The sequence below is a fragment of the Homo sapiens genome, chromosome 3 (assembly GCF_000001405.40).
Source record: "Homo sapiens chromosome 3, GRCh38.p14 Primary Assembly".
NCBI lineage: Eukaryota > Metazoa > Chordata > Mammalia > Primates > Hominidae > Homo > Homo sapiens.
The window spans coordinates 77,031,363-77,056,763 of NC_000003.12; the positions used below are offsets into that span (position 1 = coordinate 77,031,363).

At 37.1% G+C, this 25,401-nt stretch overlaps 1 protein-coding gene across 41 annotated transcripts in view, besides 2 other annotated features; it reads left to right on the plus strand.

Moving 5' to 3' along the window:
- ROBO2 (roundabout guidance receptor 2) overlaps window positions 1-25,401 on the plus strand; it is a 1,743,290-nt gene that overhangs the window by 1,124,688 nt on the left and 593,201 nt on the right. For 12 of the 41 annotated variants that reach the window (XM_017006986.2, NM_001290040.2, NM_001395656.1 and 9 more), the window contains exon 1: window positions 8,737-9,484. The exons of the other annotated variants lie outside the window; for them this stretch is intronic. In XM_017006986.2, the coding sequence (XP_016862475.1) occupies window positions 9,424-9,484 (61 nt within the window). In that variant the 5' untranslated portion in view covers window positions 8,737-9,423. Of the gene's footprint in view, window positions 1-8,736; window positions 9,485-25,401 lie in introns of those variants that run through there. 41 annotated transcript variants of the gene reach the window in all.
- Window positions 24,653-24,853: a silencer, noted in NCBI's record as "peak4719 fragment used in MPRA reporter construct". NCBI's record gives its function as "represses an SCP1 promoter by STARR-seq MPRAs in K562 erythroleukemia cells {active_cell/tissue: K562}" and the evidence as "EXISTENCE:reporter gene assay evidence [ECO:0000049][PMID:32103011]".
- Window positions 24,863-25,063: a silencer, noted in NCBI's record as "peak4720 fragment used in MPRA reporter construct". NCBI's record gives its function as "represses an SCP1 promoter by STARR-seq MPRAs in K562 erythroleukemia cells {active_cell/tissue: K562}" and the evidence as "EXISTENCE:reporter gene assay evidence [ECO:0000049][PMID:32103011]".

The following is a 25,401-nucleotide window of genomic DNA, read 5'->3' on the forward strand; positions in this document are numbered from 1 at the left end:
CTTTTTTCATATAAAAAACTTCCTTTTTTATATATAATTACATGTATATACAGTGCATAAGCATATACATATGTTTATTACATAATATATAGTATATAAATGATATATGACTATTATATATAATAAATATATATTAAATATATTTAAATATATCTACTATATAATATATTCATTTGTATATTTAATAACATATTTTATATATTATTAAATTAATATATACATATATTAAATTATAAGTATATCACATTATTGATATAAATTAATTATATATTAATTTATTTATATATAAGACACATAATATATAATATATTAAATTTAATGTAATTAATTATAATATAATACATTATAATTATATTATTATATATAATAAATATATATTAGATATGTAGTTTATATGTCATATTGAAATTCCATGGGGAGGTATTAGGCAGAAATGTATAAAAATGCTCCTGTCTTAGTCCATTCAGGCTGCTATAACATGATACCACAAACTGGATGGATTATAAACAACAGCAGTTTATTTTTCACTGTTCTGGAAGCTGGGAAGTTCAAGATCAAGGCACTAGCAGATTCTGTGTCTGGTGAGGGCTCTATTTCTGTTTCATGAGTGGTACCTTCTCACTGTGTCTTCACATGGTGGAAGATACTATTTCTCCAAGGTTTCTTTTATGAGGACACTAGTCCCAATTATGAGGAATCTGCCCTCATCACCGAATTACCTCCCAAAGGCCCTACCTTCTAATACTATCACACTGGGGGTTAAGATTTCATCATGAGAATTTTGAAGCCAGTGGGAGGGACTGCAAAAACATTCAGACCATAGCAGTTTCTTAGAGAAGTGACAATGAAAAAAATGTTGAGAAATCACTGCTGGCGAATACATTAGCCTATCCTGGGTGATTCTGTAGGCTTTGTTGTACTGGATATGAATTACAGCTACAAACTATGACACTTTCAAAGTTACATCATCAATTTGAGCTTTCATTAACTACTGTGAATTATGAGGCTAAACCACCTTCATATGCTTCATGAGAATTTAATAAGACAATTAATTTAAAAGGTATATTGCAGTGCTTGTCATATAGTAATTGTTTTAAAAATTTAGGTATTATTATTCTTTATTTTTATAATATTAACCATAGTTTAATGTCCTGAGAAGAAGTATATTGCAACATAAAGTTTAAATGAATATTTAAACTTTAGGCAACATTCAAAGTGGCTGATTATATTTGTCAGCACAGGTGAAGTCCTAAAACAAAGAATACCAAACTTCGATAATTTGAGACACATTACAAGACATCTGTTGCTCAACTCACAGTGCAAAGCATACAACAGAGAGTGAGATGTTCTGAGTCTGCTTACACACTCATCCTGAAATTCATGCATTTTATCCGATGGCTCAGTGTTTTCTATTTGGCCATCCAAAAAGTGAGGCAACAGCCAGAGCGCCAAGGGGGTAAGGTATAGGTGAGACCTTAGAGGGCAAATCTAGAAGTGCCTGGATTCCATTGGCCAGAACTCAATCACATGATCCAACACAACTGCAAGGAGGGCTGGGGAATTCTGTGTGGAAGAAAGGAAGGAGAGGATTCTTGGGTAACAATCAGCATTTTCTCTGTCATGATAGAGGATTATTAGTACACTCCAATGACCCTAAGTATTGTAAACAATTAAAATGTACACTGGACCAAGTTCTTTAAATGCAACATCCGACTACCTTGTGAGTAGGCACTATTGTTATCTTTGTTTTATAATTAAGGTAATTGTCAACATCGCACTGCAAGTACCAAAATGAGAATGCAGATAGGTACTCAACATCCAATTTCAGAGCTCTATCTCAGTATTCTCTATTGTGTCCTTATTTAGGAAGCCATTCATTACCCCTTCTCTTTGCAGAGATAATTGAGTGGAAATGCTACTTCAGTGTTAGATTAGAGAAGACTAATATTTTCCTGATGACAAGTGAATGGTTTACTTAAGAACACTGTGAAATCTCCTATGAAAATCTTTAAAATAAAACAGGTTTTCATCCTTTTTTGATAGTTTAAACATGACTCAGAATGAGGGCTGGTATCCAGACTACCAGAACTCCTATAAATGTGCCTCTAGCTTTGTGATGAAATGTGTTTTTAATGTGTTTGGTAAAGAAGGGAGAAATAAAATAATAGGTTAAGTTACAACCTGGACCTAAGCCAGTTATAGAGGCAAGCTAAAACAACAACAACAATAAGGAAACAAAATAGCCTCATGCTTATCATGCCACATAATTTCCATTGACATTGTCTATACTAGTCATACCTGAAAGTCTAATATTTGCTCAAAGGCTGAAGAAAACGATTACAGATGAGTAATCTTAGAAAAATGAAAAATTAAGATAAAAATTTGATGAAAATTTTTCACATTGCTAAAAACCAAAAATTAATTTCACATTGATAAAAATCAAAAATTAATTTGTATGGCAAATATATATTAGATGAAGTGTAAATTTATTTACACTTTATATTTCTGATAAATATAAGAAACCAGCCATTGAAACTTTTTTCTTAAATTACGTTAAAACTGAAAGCAATCCAGTGACGTGAGGGGTTCTATAAAATTTGTACCTAGTTGTCAAAAACTTGACTAGCATTTTTCAATATTAAGTATCTGGTCCTTTGGATCCTTTAAATTTGTATTAGTATATAATGAAAAAGCCAAAATTGCTCAGAGAAAAAAAAAATCACTTGTTGCTATCATTCTTTTTTGCTAAGTGAAAGACTAAACAGTAGAAACTGTTTAAGAGAGAGAGCAATGTCTTACTCAAATTGAAATGTTATGATATGAAGTATATGTCATATTATTGCTTTATTTGCAAGTTTTTCTATAAACTTGGGCCAGGGAGATTTTTTTCATTTATTTCACTTTGTCACTTACGGATGACAATGTGTATTTACATCTCTAATTTGAGCAAAATTATATTACTTATACTCCTGGCTGGCATTGTATCTAACAACTTAAGAACTTAGTATTCTTTGTTAAAAAAAAAAAAAAAAAGAAAACAACTTCAGGTACTCCACAAGTAGTCAGAATTTGTTTTATCAGGCAGAAATAAAATAAATTGGATATTGGAAGAAAATCAGAATCTGCTCCCAAACAGATTAGTTCTTCTACAGGATAAAACCATAGACAGTTCAATTAGATTACATGTACCCTTGGATTAATTCCGTGATAGTATTGCAAGGGAGAATAAGCAATTTTTTTCTAATTTGAAGTATCCATTGTGAAACATGCCTCAAAGAGATTCAGTGAGCATACAACTGTAAAAATCCACGGGTATCTATAGGACCCATGGGTATCATTGGCCTTTTCCTAAATCCTTGACAATCTCTTCTTTTTATGAACAACAAAAAATTCTGTTTTGGATTTAAAATAAATTTTTCTATTAGGATTACAGCTATGTATTGCTAAAATTTAATTATACAAATTCCAGATCGGAGCAGATGGACTTGGAATTATTTGGCAAAGAATCAAAGGGATTTTCTTGGGTTCATGAAAGTGTGGTGTAAAATTAGCAAAAAGTGTATTATTTTATGTCATTGAAGTTAAGCCATATACTAAAATAATAACTTGATATCAGTAACAAGAAATGATAAAATAATGGGCAGGAAAAAAATCCTTGCACACACATTAACTCTAGCCTGTTATGGTTAATGACTGAAGTTGTACTTTCAAATAATAAGTGGATTTGCGAGGCTGACTATTCTCATTTGGTAAAATCATTAGCCTAGTATAGATGAGAGGTTATCATCTTTGCTGCCAAAGAACTCCTTTTTAATTTTAGTTTAGGTTTTGCAATTTACTAAGATGGGGCTGAGGGGGTAATGGACCTTCTTGAACTGACACTATGAAGATAAATAAAATCTCATCCATGACCTCTAAGGAACCTCTAAGTGACTTTTAAAATTCAAAATTTTAAGGTATACACAATTAAAGAAATTTGGCCTCAATGTTACATACCACTTACTGTAATATTTGTTTATTCAATAGTTATGTTAATTTGGAAGTATCACCGAACTCTTCGATCAAGATAAATAATGATTTTCCAAATAGATTTTGGACTCTAAAGGAAGAAAGATTTTCTTTCTTGAAAATACGTGATTTTATTCTGCAGAGAAAACTCTTTTAAATGAACTATTACTATATTTTAGTCAACTTAAATTCAGATTTATAACTTCATGTAATATACCAAAAATGCTATTCATAAATAGCTACACAGACAGACTTATATAGAGACAAGTATTGGTGACCACTTCAAAATGAATCGAATCAAATCAGATACTTAGAACATATTTCAGAAGAACAATATTCATTTTATCTTGGCTCCCTCAGATCCTTTCTGGAACAAAGTCAAGTGTAATAAAGAAAAAATCATGTAGGGGCAAATGAGCCGTCTCTCTGTGATCAGGATTTTTAATGCTTCACTTACTTTAGTTGTCCTGTGTCCTTTTGTAGATAATAACACATACGTGTCATTTAATGTGATGTTTCTGTATAGTATAATAAGACAATCTTATATAGAAAAATTCGAGCTGAGCAATGGCTTTAAAGAGGTTCTTAAATTTTGAAGAAAAATTGATTACATATTTCTGTATATTTTGGTACACTGCGGTTTTCTTAAATTGATCAGAGTAATATATTATACTCTTATACTATTTCTGCAATGTGGTAGATGTCTTAAATCAATCTCAAGTTCTTGATAACATAGACTTTGTATTCAGGTCTGGATTTAAAGCAAGATTGTGCCTTTCATTAACTTGGGTTGATTATCTAATCTTCATTTTTCTCATCTGTACAATGGGAATAGTATCAACCACATAAGCCTCTTATAGGAATTTAACAATATGATGAATTTTTAAAAACTAGAAGAATTCCCTGACACGTGGTTAGTGCTCACTACATGGCAGTATATGTTAAAATTACTATCATGGATCAAACCTTTGATTTTTATATATATGCTGCCTTACAATTATAACAAGAGCACGTTGAAAAGAGTAAAAAAGTGGATTAGGGTTTTGCAGTTTTTACCACATCCTTGGGGAATCTGGTATGAAAAAAGAAATATTTAATATGTTACACTCTGCAGATTTCCTTCATATGGTTATTTTATACTTCTGCTGGAATACCAACTCAGAAATTCAATCACAAAGAAGGCCATTGGATAACCTTACCCAAATTAGGGATAATGACAGTTTCTTACAATCTTTAGATGTATTAAAATATATAGGCACATTTTGAATATATAATACCTTTCCAGGTTTTACATAAAAGAAGCCTAGATTTCCATCTACATTTATCTATTCAGCTGCTTGTTTGGAAAAGAAAAAAACAATTTATATTTAGAAAGACATTGAAGCCAGATCCCCATTTGATTTTTCTGTATCTTAAGCTCTCTGATGTGGTGGTCATGGGGCTTCATTGTTCTAAGCCATTGCTGTTTCTTTTTGGCTTAAGGAAAACCTTAATTTTTTTTTTTTTTTGCTAAAGCACTGCTAAAATTTAATTTCCAACTTCTACTAGAAGCTTCAGATTTTAAAGACTTTCCTTTAATTAAACATTTGGAGTGAGAAATCCATTTTTTATATAGGCAGTGCTCACTAAAACTGTCTTAAGTGTAATTGAAATATGCACATTTTTCTAGTATAGATCTTATCATATATCTCAGAAGGTAATGTCTTTGTTCTTTTGGAATTAATGTTGTCCATAACAAATTTCTGTCTGGCGACTCGTTACTGTTGCTAATTTAGTGTGAGATGTTTGGTCATAATCCTAAACTATCATTTGGGATGAGATTGTTATAAAATAATGGTTTTTTAGTCACATTTCATATCAAATGAGACACTGACAGAGCATTCTTTTAAAAAACCAGTTATGAACTTGACTACAAGAAAAGCAGAAAACATGGATTCCAAAATGTTTTGGTGAAGACATTATTCCATAAGGTAGCTAGTGTATGGCAAACAACAACAACCACAACAACAAAAGCCATTTAAAAAATGGCACCAGTCTAAAATCACTGGCTTGCTTTGTCACTTTTAATAGGTAAAGTAGTTAAGAATGCAAAATGTTGATGCTTGGTAAAAAAAATGCCAATATAACCAAAGCGATTTCCCTTATACAAAGCTCTTCTCTGTATGATGTAATTTGTCATACCCTACACAAGGATAACTTTCTATGAATAGGGCAACATTTTCTGCCCTAAAGGACCATGGCAATTGGTGGTAGGCTGATCTCGCCCAATCTATCCCTTCTGTTTCCCACACACACTCTTTCTGCCTCTGAGTGATTTTATAGTTTACTTAAGGAAAGGCATTTACAGATGGTGAGTCTATCAAGTATAAAATAGAATCTATATTTTGCCTGATAAATAAATAGTCATGAGAAAACACTTCTAGTTGAAATCCTCCAATGTCTTCCTTTCTGTGAACCATCTTAAAATTAAGGGTCTTATAAGTCTATATGATGTGTTAATTCCTGCATTATTGTATTAGGAAGACTATTTTCCGAATATCTTAAAAATTTCACCCGCGTAAGGAAATTTGCCCGAGATAAGCTGGTGGTGTGTATTATTTGGAGACATGAGCTAGACATTGTAATCCTGAACTGGGTAAACCAAGCCCAAGTGTTTAAAATGAAAGTTTTCAAGAATTTTAATTACTTTCCTTTTCCAGAGATAAAAGAGATGTTAATAGCGCACTTTTGGATGTTTCTAAACCACAGTGTTATCCAATTTAGACGTATTGGACCTTTGGGGTGGGTTTCTCCTTAACGGTTAAGCCTTTTTTCACGGGGTGCTAAAACAATAGCACATTCAGAATTATTATAGTGAGAATTCAAGTGATTCAACTTTAACAACCGAATGCACTTTTTTCTTCACAAGTAAATACTGTAGATTAAAAGTGTGCAGAAATTACTCTTAATGCTTTACAAGAAGAGTGGTTGTTTTATTCTTTCGCAAGACTATTTCATTACCGTAATTTTCAAGCATGCCGAGGTGTCCTAATGTCTCTTCTAATTGCTTGAATGTCGCTGACCTTTTTTTAAAAGAACACACAGCGCCCATAATATGCAAGGGAGACCTAAGTTAAGTAGCAGCACCAAAACGTATCCACCAAACAAAGGCTCTTCCTCAGACGGCCCCTTCTGGAGAGAACCTTTCCTAATATTTTCCAGTAGGGGGAACTAAAGACTCACCATCCAGCATTTAGCTCGGCTCGGGGACCTGCGTGAGTTCCTATAAGCCGCCTTCTCATCATCTGAACAAGCATCAAACGGCTACCAGCGAGCCTGTGATCACACGTGGGCCCGGCCGCACCGGGGCACCGCCGACACCGGCACCCCTTTGATCTAACGTGACCTTCCTTCATCATCCCCGGTCCTGAATGGCATCCTTTGGTAGTCTTGGTCTTAATTTTCAGAGTTTTGTCGTCTTTGGGCTGAAATTCGGCTTCTTTTTGAGCTTCCATGAGCTCAGCTGGGCTTTCGGCTTTCCACACCCAGAGCCTATGTTTACCGAATTTCCTTCTGGAGGTGCTGGTCCCTGGAGGGTAAAGACTTCGGGGATCCCCCTCCCCCAAGCTCTGTGATCCCCGCTTCCCCGTCCTTAGCATCTTCTGTGGAACTCCCTCGCCCTGCGCGATCGCGCATCAAACTCATCGTGGAGGGGTCAAAAGGCAACTGAGTAACATAAGAGGGGCTGCCTCCCCTTCCTCCTTCCCTTGGGGATGCCGCAGGGGGCCATAGATCTTGGCTAAAATGAGCCGCTGGAGGTTAGAGAATTCTGCCCCCTCCTTTTTCTCCCCCTTGTGCTTTTGAATCATATAGGAAGCATCTACACACAACCTTTCCAGTCCAAAAGGTGCTTCTATTTCCTTTCCTTTCCTTTCCTTCCTCCTACTCGGCTTCTCATCTGGCTAAAAGGTGAAGAGTGAGTGAGTGTGTGATTTTAACGCGTAATGAGGCTGCGCCCTGGGTCCTGGAGGCTGATCTTTTTCAAGAAAGCGCGTGCAGCTCCGGCAGACGGAGGGATGAATAATTAGGAAGGGCTTCCATGAAATCACTCACGGAGAAAATTACCTGCCCATTAAACGGGACGCGGCGAGGAGCAGGAGCCTGGAGCCCACCTATCCCCTCCCGAGGCGGGAAGGAGTGGGCACCCGGGGGCGCGGAGAAGGGGAAGGAGTCGCCCGGTGGCCTCGGCCCTCGGCAGCCGGCGGGGCTCTCCGAATTTGTTCATCTCCGTCCCCCCGGGGACTCTCGGCTCTCCAGGACCCCTCCCCACTCCCCAGCGGGCGGGTGGCCGAGTCCGGAGGTTCAGGGCTCCGCGCGCCCCTCCTCGCCCCCGCCCCTCCCCGGGCCGACTCCAGGCAGCTCTCATTCCTCCCCTCCCCTCCCGCCTCCTCGCCTTCCCTCCTAGAAGTCCTTCCACCCGCGGCAGCTGCCGGAGGAAGCGGACGCTCTGCTGCGAGGCTGCGGGGGCTGGACCCGGGCGAGGGGCCTCAGCGCGCCTGGCGCTGGACTGAGCGCTCCCTTTCTCCGCCGCGCCCGGGCTGGGCTCTCACGCCCGTCTCTGCTCGCGCCCGCAGCCGCCTGGTGCACTATCCTCAGAGGCGGCACCGCGGGGGTGTCTGCAGCCTCGGCCTCCGCCCGGCCCCTCCCTCCCTCCCTCCCTCCCTCGCTCCTTCCCTGCCTCCCTCACCACGTAGGAGTTCGGATTCTCCACCCGAATCGTCCTGATTTCCCTTCTCCTCTCTTTTGGAAACCGGAGAGGTGGAGGGAGGGCAACACCGCTGCAAAGGAGAGGCCCGCCAAGTCTGCCCGCCTGCAAAGTGTTGCTTTGACACATTCTTATTATGGAAGTTAAGTAAAAATATAGACATATTAAAAAATAACTCCGGACGTGGAGCTGCTACGGAGAAGGAAACCGGGGGAAAGAAAACCAGTAGGCAGGCCAATGGTTTTTCGGCAGCGCGCTGGCAAGTTTGTGGAACACTTTCTAGGAATTAGGTCTTTTCCTCCCCCTTCATCATCTTGACTTCTGAAGGAAGAACTTGGCTTTGGATTGCAGTGGAGCCTAAGGAGAGAGGGTTAGACACACTCGAATAATCCCTCTGGCTGGGCTGAATTTGTGGGAATTTAGGAAGCCAGAGTGCTGGAAATACAGCAGCCTTTGAAGTACCCTCTGTTAATTTGGATGGATCTCAGTGTGCCCCGTTCGAGACCTCTCCACCAACCCCTTCTGATCTTGCGATTTGCTCTTCTTGACTTTAATTAGTATCTAGGAAAGTCTAAACTTTGGACCTACCTCTTTTTTTGATACTCATTTTTGTACTTTTGCTCTCTGGGATTGGTTTCTTAAAGAATCTGGATCCTTTTTAATATGTCAAAATGAGTCTGCTGATGTTTACACAACTACTGCTCTGTGGATTTTTATATGTTCGGGTTGATGGTAAGTTAAAAATGCTTTCATCTTTTTTTGCGCCCCCCACCCCCCAATCCCCCAAAACCATTTCTTTTTGAATTTGATGTGGGTTATAAATGAAATGACATTATGTCTGTTAGTCCGTTTTGGCCCGGCACGGGCTCCTTGGGGGCAGAGGTTTTATTTAAGTCTTTTGTTTCTAAACTGCTGTAAGTGGAATGTGTTGGTAGTCACCTATTGTTGTTATTGTTGTAATTTACTTCACTAATTAAGGAGTTGGATAATAAATGATTGGGCTCCCAGTTTTGTTAGAAAAAGAAATATTACAGTCAATCTCCTGCAAGAGCCTAATACTATTGTGCCTGCTCTCTATTTGATGTTTGCTCTTGTGTCTGAACTTTGGCTGAGACATTCAAGTGAAGAAATACAGTAATAGACACTCTAAGGAAGGTTCAGTGGGTTAGGAATTTGAGACTGAGATCAATGTGTATCACCTGTGTGCCAGTGAATGCTCTCCTAGCGTTAAATCGAATGAAGAATTTAGATCCTAGGGAGAAAACTGTCAAAAGTGAGACTGGGCGAGGCTCCACGAAGGGGGAAGCATCAGCTATGGGCTGGCCACAGGAGTAGAACACTTAGCTCAGTCCCCAGTGGGCAAACACAATGGGGACCTTAAACAGGTGCTGGAGGTGTCTCCCTCTAGGTTGAGTCAGTCTGTCAAGCCCACAGCATTCTGCCTCTGATTCTCTTGTCTTTTGTTCCGATTTGGTTTACTGGGATATTTTCACAGGATGTCAATTTCTTGTGCGACTATTGCAAAATCCTTTTTTGTGGTTCTTTTGAATGAAGAGTGGAAATAATCATTAACATGCTTTTTGGTTTGTATTCAAAAGAAAAAAGTTAAAAGAATATTTGCTGTTAACCTTCTAGAGGCTTTAATTTTTATATCGATGGAAACAACTGGTATAAGGGAGTACTAGATATTTTTTTTTTCTAACTGGATTGCAGTACTTTAGGTTTTTAGTTACTTTCTGTACTTGTAAAGAACCTAAAGGGTATTAGTCTAACTGTTTGAGCCATCACAATAGCTTGTTGCCACATAAACTTTCCTCCAGCATTTGCATTGTGGATGAATTCATTATTTGGGACACTGCCTATTTTGGCCCATCTGAGTAGCTAACTTTGTTCCTGGCAGCTACTGCTGCATAGAGCCCAATGTATTGGACTCAAAAAGGAAGGCTTTCTATAAACATGAGGCAATACAGAGGAGTTTACCTACTGTCAAGTGGCTGTTTTCAATCATGGACTACATGAGTACCTTTGCCCCCCAGCGATAGTGAGGGAGGGATGCGTGTGTGTGCACTGCTTCTCTCTTTTACCAGTCTAAGCAGTAGATGTTTAAGATTTAATTATTGTGAATTATACTATGGCAACATCTCTAATTATTTTTCATGCATTTATTTTTCAGTACATTAAAATACGTGTACATTACCGTAACAAAATAGGTTTACCTATTTGTCCCAGGTGTGTTTGATTTTCATGATAAGAAGAATTTGGTATAACTTTTAAAAGAATATGTCCTCATAAATCATGAATTTACATATCTCAACAGAAATGCATGTGTAAACTATACATTAGACTACAAAATTATCACCAAGGGTTTTTTTATATAAGCGTTTTTAAATCAGTGTGTTGCTAGGAGGAATACAATTAAATTGCTCAGTGGAAGTGACAGGAAATCAGAAGAGCTTGGTGTTACAGAATGTAATTAATATACCAGGGTGTTTGGAGATATATGAAACAAATGCAATTAACCAGCTTGCTGGAGCAGCAGTAGTAAGACACCATTTCTGTCTGCCTTCCCTCCCTCCCTCCTTTCATTCCTCCCTCCCTTCTTTCTCTCCGTTTTATTCCTCTCTCCCTTCTTTCCTTCCTTCTCTCCCACACCACCCTTCTCCTGCCCCCAAAGACAACCTAGAACCTTTGTTCTGATTTAACATTGTAGGATAAGGGGGCAGTTTGTGTCTGGGCCACAATTATGCAGCAGAACTCATAGTAATGTAGTGAAAAATGCCAAAATTGAGGAGTTGACACTGAAAAGGCAATATTAAATTTTTGTGTGTGTGAAACTAGTTTTGTATTTAGCATCTGCTGTGTCAAAAGCAAAGGAAACCCTGGACACTCTTACTAAATTAATATGTAAATCATACGTTTGACATTGGATTGCCTTTGGATACTTCAGAATGACAGTTTCTCCACGGGGATGGTTGAAAATTTGGGATGTGGAGAACACTGCCCTCTAGGCTGTTTCAGCACTTTGAGACTCAGTGTTCACATATATAGTGAAGAGGTTGGTTTGTAGGTTCTCTAAGCTTTGTTACTCTTCCAGGATTCTATGATTTCTATTTACTTATTCTTCTTAGAGGTGTGTGCTTATACTCCACATGAATTTCAAATGTACAGAAGCCTGTACCATTTCAAAGATATACTGACCATCCTTGTGCTAGACACAGATATTAATTTTATTCAGTGACAAATGATACATATATTTGCATTGATATTTGCTTGGTGGGTTATTTATATGTGCATTTTTATAGTATATGAAAAATGGTAGCGTTTTGCCACCTCATAGAAGCTATCTGCTAATATTATTTATAATTTTTCAGTATTGTGTCCCTGTAGCAATCCATAGAGAGCAAATATTAAGTTAGTTGAGAAATGTAGATAAACTTTTCTATTTGGGATGTAAATAATGGTTTTCTTATTGATGCAGATTAATCACATCTAGACTTTTCTGTATGATCATATAGGAGAATGTATGTTAAGGTTAGCCTTTGTTTTCCAGCTTTTCTTTATTTTTGAATAAGAATAGGGTTTTGCAGTCATTTATGGGAAATTAATATGAACTATGGCAACACTTTTAAATTACATCTATATGCCATATATTACATCAATCTGATAATTTTATAATACTTGTGAAAAGGTGTTTTAAAATGAGAATGTTTTTCTCATCTTTACCCTTTAACTATTCTTAAATGAAAGTGGCACACATGATATTAGGGGAGATAAATATAGTAAAGATAATGTATGTGCATAGTGCAGATGTAGAATCTCATAGAGGTTTATACATGTTGCTAAAGTGCTCTTTTTCAGTAATGGGCTTATTATCATAGCCATATGTAGTCTATTTCAGAATTTAAATTATATATAAGTAACCTGAAATGTGTTTTTGAAGCTATGCAGTAATACCATGTTTGAATTGGCTTTGTTTGAATAACCTTTGATGCTACGCAACATGTGGACCATAAAAAAAAAGGATTTCTTAGAACATTAAGCAAAAATATTGTAAAAAAAAAAAGTAATGATTATATAAAAAGAGCAGTTCTGGCCATCTCATCCCTGAGCAGCTTGTATAAAATAGCATGTTTGACGATAAAAATATAGATATGTAAGCACATTGTATAAGTTGGGATACATACATAGCAATGAAGGGAGCTGATGTATGTGGGATGTGTGTGTGCCTAGTAATATCTGCTGAAATAGTTCCGGCAGTCTACAGGAGGTACATTTACTTCCCATGTGCAATTTGGTTTTCGAAGAGTATTAGAAAAAAAGATTATCATCTTATTTACTATTTCTCCTTTTTCTCCTTTTTTTCCTCCTTCTCCTCTCCTTCTCTTTCTTCTTCTCATTCATCGTCTCTTTCCTTTTCTTATTCTCCTCCTCTTTTTTTCTTTTTTGGATCTAATGAAAGGAATTAGAGAAACACTTGAAGAGTGAAGAAGATAGGTGAGGGTGTTTCTTGAATGATAATTTAGAAAATCTGCATTTAAAGGAAAAATGTGAATAATATTTTACCTTTAGGTATATCCAACTGGGATTTTGACTTTCTCACTTTTACCCCACAATACTATATATAGCTTTATGCAAAATGTTTTGCACGGATCCTATCATTTTCCAGTTTACACAAGTAAAAGTCGTCATATCTGAGTTCAAGCAAACAGTGGAGATTTATAGAGTGCCATTTTACAGATTTATTTCTAAAGAAAAGTATTGCTGTATTTCTTAAAGGTTCTCCAGGTATAGATCTATCAACCTAAATCAATACATTGGCATAGATATTGCTTTTCTCCTTCTTCTCTTCTTTTTTTTTCCATGTGTGCCTTTATTAGCTGAGCCACTACTTGAGGGTTTAAGGTCTTTGTGAGGGGCTTGGAACACCCAATGTTGGGGGAGGGAGGCGGGCGGTAGGGAAAGTATCTGAAAGGACTTCCTGAGCCAGCTGTAGGCTTTTCTTCTTCTTGTAAAAGAATTACTATATAAAGAATGAAGGAATGATTATAAACTCTTTTTAAAAATAAATACCTATCAACTCTACTGTTTTAGTAGTGTGTTATACAATGATAGAAGCATATAGCATCTAGGGTAGCATGCTTACCCAGAATACTTGACTCAACACAGTGTTGGAGTAACGGAGGCCTCAATCCTTAGTGTTTTCTCCTCCATTTGCAGCCAATCCTTAGGCTCTTTCATCTAATCACATGAGGTTTAAATACATGTTTGGATTGATAATTCTAAAATTGCCCTAATCATTGCATGGAGGGATATAAGATCCATCAGCACAGAACTTGGCTGTTGTATATACTGTTGATCTCCAGTGCTTGCATCAGTGCTTGACATACTCACCTGACTACTTGACGTCTTTGCTTCATGTCCAATGAGAATGTACAAAACTCAAGCCTAAGACAGAATCTTCTCTTTCTAGCCATTCCCATCACAGTAAATGGCTTCCACCATTCATAGGCTTTTTCATGACCCCCAATGAGGAACCATTTTTCACTTGTTCTCACAACTTGTATTCAACTTGTTCTCAGAATTGTGCAACCATCACTACAATCTAACTTTAAAATGTTCTTAATTACCCAAGAAAGAAACTATGTAGCTTGTTCCACCATCCCTCCACCAACCACAAGAAATCACCACTCTACTTCTGCCTCTGTGGATTTGTCTTTTCTGGACATTTTATATATAAATGCAATCATACAATATATGATGTCATTTTGTGACTAGCTTCTTTTCTTTAGCGTAATGTTTTTAAGGGTCATCCGTGTCATAGCATATGCATCAGTACATCATTCTTTTTTATTGCCAAACAATATTCCTTATCATCTATCCTTTGGTTTACTAGTTGATGAACATTTAAGTTATTTCCATTTTTGGCTATTATAGATATTGCTGCTTTGAACATCCACGTACTAACTTTTGTGTGAACATATGTCTTCATTTAACCTGGGATGGAAATGCTGGGTTGTATGTTTAGTCTGTGTTTCACATTTTGAGGAACTGCAAGACTATTTTCCAAAGCAGCTGTGCTACTTTACATTGCCATTAGCAATATATGAAGTAGATATTTTCTTTTAATTGATCATGGAAAGAAAGAGTCGAAGGGCCTTATGAGTTGGGTATGATGTTTTGAAGTGAAACAATTTTATATTATACTAATCTGTCTCAAATCCCCAATAGTCCTGATTTCTAATCCCTTCAGTGGTTGTTGTCTTCTAAGTCTTCCTCAGTTGCCTCGTAAAACTTTACAAAGATAGTACCTCAGTTGAACTTGTCACTTTTAGCAGAGATCTCAGCAATAGTAAATATAAATCATAGAATGATAGCATCTCGGAGCCATTATGAATATTTGCAGCTATATTGCACAACTCTCTTATTGGTTGGGCACATGGAGAACTGAAGCTTAGAGATTTTATGTGCCTTGTCACAGATCCCATTGCTACTTAGTGGTAGAGCAGAAACTAGACTCCAGGGATGCTTCATCTCTGTACCAGGCTTCTGCCTATGAGAGACTGTTTCTGGATTCTTAGCCCTGGAACTCCTTAACAAGAATTCCAGGCTCTTGTTACTGAAAATGACCAGCTATTTTCTGAAGAGTCCATGAGAAAATGAGCTTGAATATGTTTAGGTTATTCCTTTGATTCAACACATGCATATTGACAACATAACTTGCTTGGCTCTGTGAAGAACATGCTGACCTGTGAAAATATTCCCACATTCAAGGAAGTCATGACTTGGTAGGGAAGGTACCAAATGTTCAAGTCACTAGAATAAAAAAAGTAGTGTCTGATAAGTAAGAAGTTTGAAGGTGTACACAGTATAGTCTTGAGAACTCAGAGAAGGAATAGGTGATTTCCAGCTGGTACAATCTGGGAAGGGTCAACACCAAATGGGTCTCTTAACCTGGACCTTAGAGGAAGAGTGGGATTTTGGTGGGCAAAAAGATTGGAAATTGAATTCCAGGAAAAGAAGTAACCAGAAAAATGGCATGAAGATGACAAAGGGGTGCTAAGGAAATGGCAAGAAGTCTAGATTGATTGCAACATAGTTTGCCTGTAAGGAAGAAGGATAAGATGGTTATTGAAAGACTACTGAGCAATCACTACTGAATGAGTATGAACAAGTAATTTAACCTTTTTATGCCTCAGTGTCCTTACCTGTAAAATGGGCATGGTAATAATGTATATCTCATACAGTTATAATGAGAAATAAAATAGTTTTAAAAATATAACGATATATAGGCAGGGCATGGTGGCTCACGCCTGTAATCCCAGCACTTTGGGAGGGTGAGGTGTGTGGATCACCTGAGGTCAGGAGTTCAAGACCAGCCTGGCCAACATGGTGAAACCCCCTCTCTATTTAAAAAAAATACAAAAATTGGCTGAGCATGGTGGCAGGTGCCTGTAATCCCAGCTACTCAGGAGGCTGAGGCAGGAGAATCATTTGAACCCAGGAGGTGGAGGTTGCAGTGCCAAAATTGTGCCATTATACTCCAGCCTAGGCAACGGGCAAAACTCCGTCTCAAAAAAATATATATAATGATATATATAAATAAATAAATATATATATAAAATAAAGATGTATATAAAGATATATATGGGCTGGGCGCGGTGGCTCACGCCTGTAATCCCAGCACTTTGGGAGGCTGAGGCAGGTGGATCACGAGGTCAGGAGGTCGAGACTATCCTGGCTAATACGGCGAAACCCTGTCTCTACTAAAAATACAAAAAAATAATTAGCCGGGTGTGGTGGCGGGCGCCTGTAGTCCCAGCTACTTGGGAGGCTGAGGCAGGAGAATGGCTTGAACCTGGGAGGTGGAACTGGCAGTGAGCCGAGATCGCGCCACTGCACTCCAGCCTCGGCGACAGAGTGAGACTCCGTCTCAAAAAAAAAGATATATATGATGCCATGAACAGTGTACTTTATAAATGCCACTCAAGCATAACTTATTGTTATAATTAGTAGTATTTTTATTAGATTATTATTCCCTGCCTAGTATGAACAAGGAAAATAACTAGAAGAGGACTTTGCTATCAGACTAATTATGGACTACAATTGGGGTGCATGTTAGGACAATTTTAATAAGATTTTTCAGCTGTGAGTCTTCAGGTGACTGATTAAGAATTTTTGTTGCCTCTTAAGGGAACTTATCGGTGGCCTCGCCTACACAGCTGTGACAGTTGTGCTATGACATGTGTGTTTCCATTGCATCATAAGCTGATTACAAAACACATGTGATTCCCAAGTGAAAGGTGCGACGAATGAAGATAGTAAACAAGAGAGGAATCACACAAATGGCAATTTGTTAGCAAGTAGACCATGCTTGTGTAAGCCTGCATTTTGGTTCATGTTGGCTGATTTACATTTCATCCTGGATAATTTTTACCTGGTGCTTTGATATAACGTACTGTGGAGATAAATCTTGTGTAAGACAAACTAAATAAACACTTTGAGAACCGAAGACCTAAGTAAAAATTAACATTTGGTATCCACTCACTAATTCGTTTTCTAGATAGCCCCCTTAGCTTCCCTTCATTTAGTATAAGACATTGAATCTAATAACTTTTTATAATTATCCATTAGTTACATTTGCACAATGAGTAGTTATGCATATCAGAAAGGATAGCCTGAATAAAACAATATCATTACTATTGTGGAAGTGACATACCTTTGGTGACCAGATCTCTGGACTGCACTGTTAGCTTCCCTAGTGGATTGTTAATTGTTCTAATTGCCTTAGAACCTTACCAAAAATGGTTTCATTTGACTGTGTAATTTCCAAGGTCTCCATGAACCTTAGGTTTTATTATCCCAAGTACTTCTGTTTAATGTTCCAACATTTATTGTTATATCTGAGAATTTTTAAAGAAGAAAATTTAGCCTGGGCTCGGCGCAGTGGCTCACCCCTGCAATCCTAACAATTTGGGAGGCTGAAGCTGAAGGATCGCTTGAGCCTAGGTGTTTGAGACCAGCCTGGGCAACATAGTGAAACCCTGTCTCTACAAAAAAGAAAAAAAGTTAGCTGGGCATGGTGGTGTCCACTTGTGGTCTCAGATACTTGGGAGGCTGAGATGAGAGGATTCCTTGAGCCCAGGAGGTTGAGGCTGCAGCGAGCCATGATTACACCACTGCACTTTTGCCTGGGTGACAGAGGCCCCGTCTCCACACACACACTCACACAAATTTAGGCTTGAAAAGAATTATCCAAAACCATAAACATCCATCTTTAAAAACAATAACAGTCTATTGTCTAATATGCATGTAGCATATCTGTGTTTTGGTGTGGGTTCAATGATATGGCTATGGATATGCATGACAGCCAAAATTAACTAGTCTTATGATTCACATCCACTCTCATTCATTAATGACCAGTGGTACTTAGGCTTTCCTTATCAATAAATGGAATTTTAAAAATTTAATACTAAGGAGACAATAGTCTTAGGTCAATGTGCTTAGTTTCTGGCCACTATAACTAGAACCATATGCAACATGGAAATTTTAGCTCAGGAGAGGGGGTTAACAGCCACTTTTTAATTTCTGTTGTAAGGATTGATGTGGGATCTCTTTCCCTAGACTTTGGTTCCAAGCTTTTTGGAAATGAGCTGGAGAACATGGAATATAACTCAACTATCCCACTGAAAGGCTTTTCAAGTTTAAGCAAGGAACACCCAGTTGAAACCAGACTGGAATTTAAGGGATTTGGACCAAACCTCTGCAGCACTTATAACCAATTAAAATGTTCATAAGTGTGATTCAAAAAGGGAGAATTTTGACTTTCCAAAAAACTTGAGTTAAGAGTTATTCATTATAAAGGAAAGTTTATAAGTTTTTATAAATCAAGGTTAGAGTCGTACTTAGAAGTTTTATAATACGTATATTTCCAAATACTAGCAAATGCTAGAATATGATTAAACTTATTTAGATATATCCGATTATTATAAAATATAGATTTCAGGGTTAGAGTAAATTAGGGGAAATTTAGAATGAATCTAGCAACAGGCACTCTTGTATTTTATATCTCTATTATAAAGTAAATTTTAATACGTTGCCAGATAACAGTACAGTTATTGAAAACCAAGCTTATTATTGTTCCATTAAATCAGAGACAGCATTTCACCTTCCTCATCTTAAGCATTTCACCTTCCTCATCTTAAGTATATAACCGTTTGTGTATTCTAAGTACCTTTGAATGCCAGCAACAACAAGCTATTACTCAAACGCCAATTGTTTTAGTGCTTCTTACCCCATCTCTATCATGGGTTAGCGTAGAAACTGAGTAGGAGAAATGTAACCTTTTAAAAAGAAAATGCCATTTCTGTTTCTTTACTACTCTAATAAACTTACTTTCATTTAAAAAAAGAAAAGAAAATGCTAGGTACAACATTCTCAGTCTTTGCTTTTGTGTGTTTTTTTTTTTTGTTGTTTTTTGGTTTTTTTTCCCCATGCAAAATTGACTAAGAAGAGTTACAACATTTAATGTGGTGGTCTCAAAACATTTTTTTTTTTTTGCATTGTAATTGTTTTCGCATAATTTCAAGAGTTAAACAATAATAATGAAAAGATGTTTCAGGCCACACAGCGTGGCTCATGCCTGTAATCTCAGTACTTTGGGAGACTGGGAGGATCTCTTGAGCCCATGAGTTTGAGATCAGCCTGGGCAACATGGTGAAACCCTATCTTTGCAAAAAAAAAGAAAAAAAAAAAAATTAGCTGGGCATGGTGGTGCTCACCTGTAGTCCCAGCTACTTGGGAGGCTGAGGTAGAAGGATTGCTTGTGTCTGCGAGGTCAAGGCTGCAGTGAGCTGTGAGTACACCACTGCATTCCAGCCAGGGTGACAGAGGGAGACCCTGTCTCAAAAAAAAAAAAAAAAATTCATCAAATGGGCATATGAGCCCTGAACTCACAAATCAAGTTGTCATTCAGTTGAGGTTTAAGGCCTCCTTTTCTGCCCAAAACCAGATTTAACTGGGTTATTCCTCACTGGCTATCATGAAACATGTAAATACATTTCATAGCTAAGTATGTTTTTAAGTGTTTCAGTCCCACCTTTCTGATTTGAAAGCCTGAATAATGTCAACTTTTAATACTAAAGTGAAAGAAAAAAGAATCAGAAAATATGTACAACATGTGGGTACAGATTTTGGGCAAATATAGCTCTTACCCCCTTGCCTCCCACCTCCCTGTACACATGGCAATAAGACTATTATGAATAAACTGAGGTGTTTGATGCCTGCCCTCTACTCACAATCCAACAGACAACTTGTATTTTAAGAACCCTTTCCAGGCTGGGAATTCTTATTACACTTTCCTGTTAAACTGTAGCACCTGTGATGTTCATCACTTGGATCTTATGAAACTCTCCAGATTTTTGAGGCTCTCAGTAAATGTGTCTCATCATGGTAAATTTAAATTCCAAGTGTATTCAACATTTCTTTTCAGAAAGCAGTTTTTAAGTTTTGAAGCAGCGGCTACACATGACATGCAAATAAAATGACCAGGCAATTGCTTGTATTGTCTGTCTGTATCAGGATTCAATTCTAAGCTTTCCAAACATGGATCTCTATAGGAGGTTATGCCTAATCTTTGCATTTGAAATGGTCAAGGAGGTGCAAGGATATACCTGGGAGGGGCAATCTCCCTGAACTATAAGGGGAGGGGACGAAAGAGTGTGTTGGAAAAGTGAAAAACTGAACATTTGAATGAAGTCGGTTGGATTAGCATTTGACACTCAACTATACAGCAAGCGGACACGCTGATATTTAGTTCTATGGATTGTTAACATTCACATAAAACAGAATTATTTAGCATTTACTGAACCCTTTTTGATAATCAATTTGGGATCAAATGCAAAAGAACATGTGTCTGCTTTGTATGACCCCAGATTCTTCCGTTTTCTCTTTGAGCAGATGACATGCCTTCTTTACTGACTGATGTTGGTTGCTAGGAGAAGTGCACTGGTTTAGTCCCTTCTTATCCAGCAGTAAAACTAAAGAGTGTATTTAGTAAGAGAAAGAGGCAGAACACAGTACAGGCCATGAATCATGACTTGTCTCCAATATGTCCACTTTGCTCCCATTTTCTTTCCCTTTAAAAACTTTTGTTTTTACCAATGATGCTTTCTTTCAGCCATTATCTATAATCCTTTTGGAGCCTGAGGGGATGAGGGTTGCTAAAGAGAGGCTGTGCTGCTGAGAGTCCACTCAGAGCAATAATAAAAGCCTTGAGAGTTATTCATGGGGCCACATTAGTGAGAATGCCCTACTCAGTGAATAGCATCAGTCAGCTGCCTTTGAGATCGAGTGATTAATACCTTCTGTTTTGAAGGGGGGAAAAGGCAGACAAGAAAGGTCTTCATACTACTTTGGCTATTTTGCAAATTAGATCTTACATATTGTCAAACCTTTTGACAAAGAAATTGCTAAAATGTCAATACCTGCAATAGTCTTTTTTAAAAGCTAGTTTTTCATGAAACTGTTAATTGTGGCTACTGTCAAATACAATTGAAACGGTAATAATATCCCAAATGAACACTGAAAAAAATCAGTTAGCCATTCTTAGATTTTGGCAGTGTTTATGATGACATCAAACTAAGAACGTGATGTTAGTGATCATATTCAGAATGTTATCTAGGCAGATCTATTTGACAACAGCCAAATAGCATTTTTGTTTGTTTGATAAAAGAACTAATTGCAATACTCTTGAGAGTTTACAGAAGCAGCTAATGAGAAAGTGTTAAGGGTGGCAGGTGTTAGTTTCCCATAAGCACTGGGATATAAGGGACAGTCTGTGAATTACAAAGAAGTTGTTATTTATATATGTATGCCTGTATGTTTGTATCTATAGGCTGGTTCAGCATATGGGATTAAAAAGTGGTATTATTATAATCCTCATGACCTCTCCTTTTATCTTTTGATTATATTATGTACATGGCACTGTTCAAATAAAATTGCTCAAGGTTTATTAAACTTGTCAACCATCTGAGTTGCATAGTTAGAAAAGCTTCTGGTTTTGGTGGCCTGAGTGTGGCAGCTAGAAAATCCAAGGGAATGCTTTGCCATACTGTTTTTCAGCATGATTCCAACATTAAGCAGGCTGTTAATATTTAGACAGTAAATTAAGCCATGTCTTTGTTTTTAAAAAGTCATTCTCATTCTATTCTTCATTTTACATTTTAAACTTATTTTTTATATAGCAGCTTAGTCTGGCCCTTCTGTATATACTCATGCTCATTCCAAAGGCTTTACTTTCATCTGAATATGAGAACAAACAACATGTTAAAGACTCTGTGTGATGCTTCCTGTCATCTGTTTTCACTCTGTGGAAGTGAAATATCTTGTTAAGAGGGGGTAATACCCAAAGGCAATCAGAGATAAAAATGTAACGATTTGGTGGGTGATGTCTCAAGATCAGCTTTAAGTGAGGTCTGATTTAACATCTTTATTAGTCATTTAAAAGGGAAATGATAAAGAAATTGTAAATCTCAACATTGGAATACCATCAGAACCTCCCCTCCCTGTCCCTGAAATCACATATAATGATATACAAAAATTTAGGCAGCAGAAAATATTAGTGGAGTAAAAACTAATGCTTTATTTGGTATATAAATGTAAACTAATTCTTCAGGGAAATAATCAGAAATCTAGAAATCTAACTAGAGGGAGAAGCCAGCAAAGCAATAACACTGAAAGGGCCCTGGGGATAAGTACAGGAGTTGGCGCAAGGAGAGAATGTGATTTAGATTAGGAGTGTTATATCCCAGTTTAAAGGTCATGCGATTATAGTGCCCATTTAGGGAGTATTGCATCACTGACTAGGGAGATTCTCTTTCAATGAATGTGGCTTAAGTGCAGTTGAAATACTTCTTTCATTTTGTACTTCATTGCCAGAACATGAGAGAGATTTTGGCAGAATAGAAACAAGGTTAGTACAAAGAGAGATTCTTTAGGAAGATGCTTGTCTACTTAACACTAGAGAAGGATTTTCCATTGGAAAGTTCAAGTAGTTCCTTTTTAGAGTGAATATAGCATCTTCAAAACCAAGACCAAATTCATAAAGCCTTCCAAGAGAAATTTCTACCATCTGTCAGTATACAGCAAAGCCCATGTTTGTGTTTTAGTTCATTTTATATGTACTGTATTACACATATTAGGGCTTAATTAAGGTTGGGTGAATTAAATTGATCTATTAAATTTAATAGACAACTTGTATGCAGAAACCTATACAACGTATGCCATCTGACCCCAGATAAATTCAAGAGTAATATTTTCTGTGGAAGTCAAGGGTCTTCCTTCCAGTAGAAGAAAGTATTGGATGGAGTAGGGAAGCATAGACAATGACTCTTCAGATGAAGTGTGTCGCATTTACCACATTCCTGGTTAATAAGGATGCTAGGTCTGATGATAAAGACTAGAGAAGGTTGTACAAGTGAGATTCTCTGCTTGCTGCACAATTATATGTTGTTCCTTTTCCCTAGTCCTCAGATAGAAATCGCCATTTTTTTTCTCCTGATGTAAGAGAGTGATAGAAATAGAATGGAGCCAGCATCTCAGTAAAACAGAAGTAAAAACAAGTTAAGATGGGCAGTGAGAGGTAATGGAGGCCAATTCCTAGGGCTTCTGATTGGTTTTATTTTGTCAATTTTACATTCCCATCAATGCTGTGGGGCTACTTCATAGCCAACATTTGAAAGCAGATGGGCATCCTGCCGTAATGTCACTGCAGCCAGTGACAGAGAGGCGCCTGCAGTCCACAAAATCTCGCGTGTATGTGTGTGTGTGTGTGTGTGTGTGTGTAAAACTTGGTTAATGTGTCATTCATCAGTAATGAGATTAGAGCCCTCATAATAAAGTCCCTACATGTTAATTGTGGAATTATGGTGCAACAATAAGTAGAGAAACACTCATTCTTTAAAAAAAAAAACTACCAGATACAAAATCTATTCATTTGGAACTCACCCTTCTGTGATTTTTATTCACTACTTTTACAGTTAATTTTTTAAAGATTTTCTTTTATTCAGCTTCCACTGCGTCTTCCCACTAACATCAAACCCTTCTGCATCCAGTATTCATCATTTTGTAACAAAGAGCATATAAATATTATAAGGGATGGTCTTGATATTAGGGGTGTCTATATAAAATCCATTCTACTGGTCTAGTGATTGGGCCAGTAAATTGCATACTGTATTGATAAAAGGGCTTTCATTCTCATAATAGTCTGTGAACTCACTGGGGACTCCTTTTCTGGGGAGTCATGTATAAATGATGAGAACTATACAAAATCTCTTGAGGAGTTTATCATAGAAATAGAGGTGCTGGAAAAGAAAATATGGTAGACTCATACTCCTTTTTGCCTTGATTTTCTAACACGTCATCCTGTCACAGGATTTCTGCATACCTTGATTCCATGTGAGGGTTATAAAGAGTTAGAGAAAAATATACATTTGGAAGACTCATTTACGCATAATATATCCACATATAAACTTCCATGAATTGGATTGGATTATAACTTGTGTGAAATAAATGTAACAAAACCACATTTTTGACCCTGAGGAACTAATCAAAGCCAGAGGCTAACTTTATTACACCCATTCCTGATTGGTTTATTTCTGTAAATTTATATAACTACGAGATGATTTCTTACTTTTTCGCTTCTAATTTTAAGTTTTAAAAGTAAAATTAACCAAAAGAATGTTTATAAGGTGAACTTTGGCCAAATGATGATTGTCATAAAACGTAACTTTTTAAGTAGTTGTGAAATGCAATAAATTGAAAAGATAAATAGAGAAGTTGAACTGTCCTTACAAATGACTGCACAATACCAGCAATGTCTTTTGAGAGAGGATTTAGGACATAGTGTGTAGGTATTTATCTCACACAAAGAGAAAAATTTCCTTCCGTGGGAAAACATTAGATCATAGGAAGGCCTGAAATATCTGAGTTGCAGCTTTGTGAAACCACACTCAGTCTAAACAAGTTACAACAAGATAAAGTCCTCAGAATACGAGGAAGGGATGATGACTACAAAGATCCACCACTGTGTTTCCCAGCTTTTTTCTCTAATGTAGCTAAGACTTTCTTTGATGAAGTCATCCTTTCTTGATCCATTTGTGTAAAAACTTGTCCCCCAACCACCGTTTGTTAAGGGAGGCAGTATTTAGCAAACTTGGTAGAGTTTATAAAGACCTAATTTTGTTGGATGAGATTCACTAGGATTAGACAACAAATTAAAGACAAAATGACATATATTAGTAACTGAAAGATCTTGCTTATTATTAATATCTTAATTCATGCAGTGTTTTTTTTACTTATAAGAAGACACCGTACTGTATAACATTCCATTTGAGATTGTTATGTTGGCAACCTCTTATTTCTTTGAAATTGTGTGGGCAATTCAAAAAAATTAAAGACAGGATAATATAGAGAACTGAGCATTTAGGAAAAAAATTGTATATTTGATGTAAATTTCATAGTTTTAAATCCACAGATAACTCAAAACTCAGACACAAGACATACAATATTTTGGCAATTTGTGTTAAGGCTGTAACTTTTTTTCAAATGTATTATTGCTTAATATTTCTAACATGAAACCTAAGGTGCTTGAA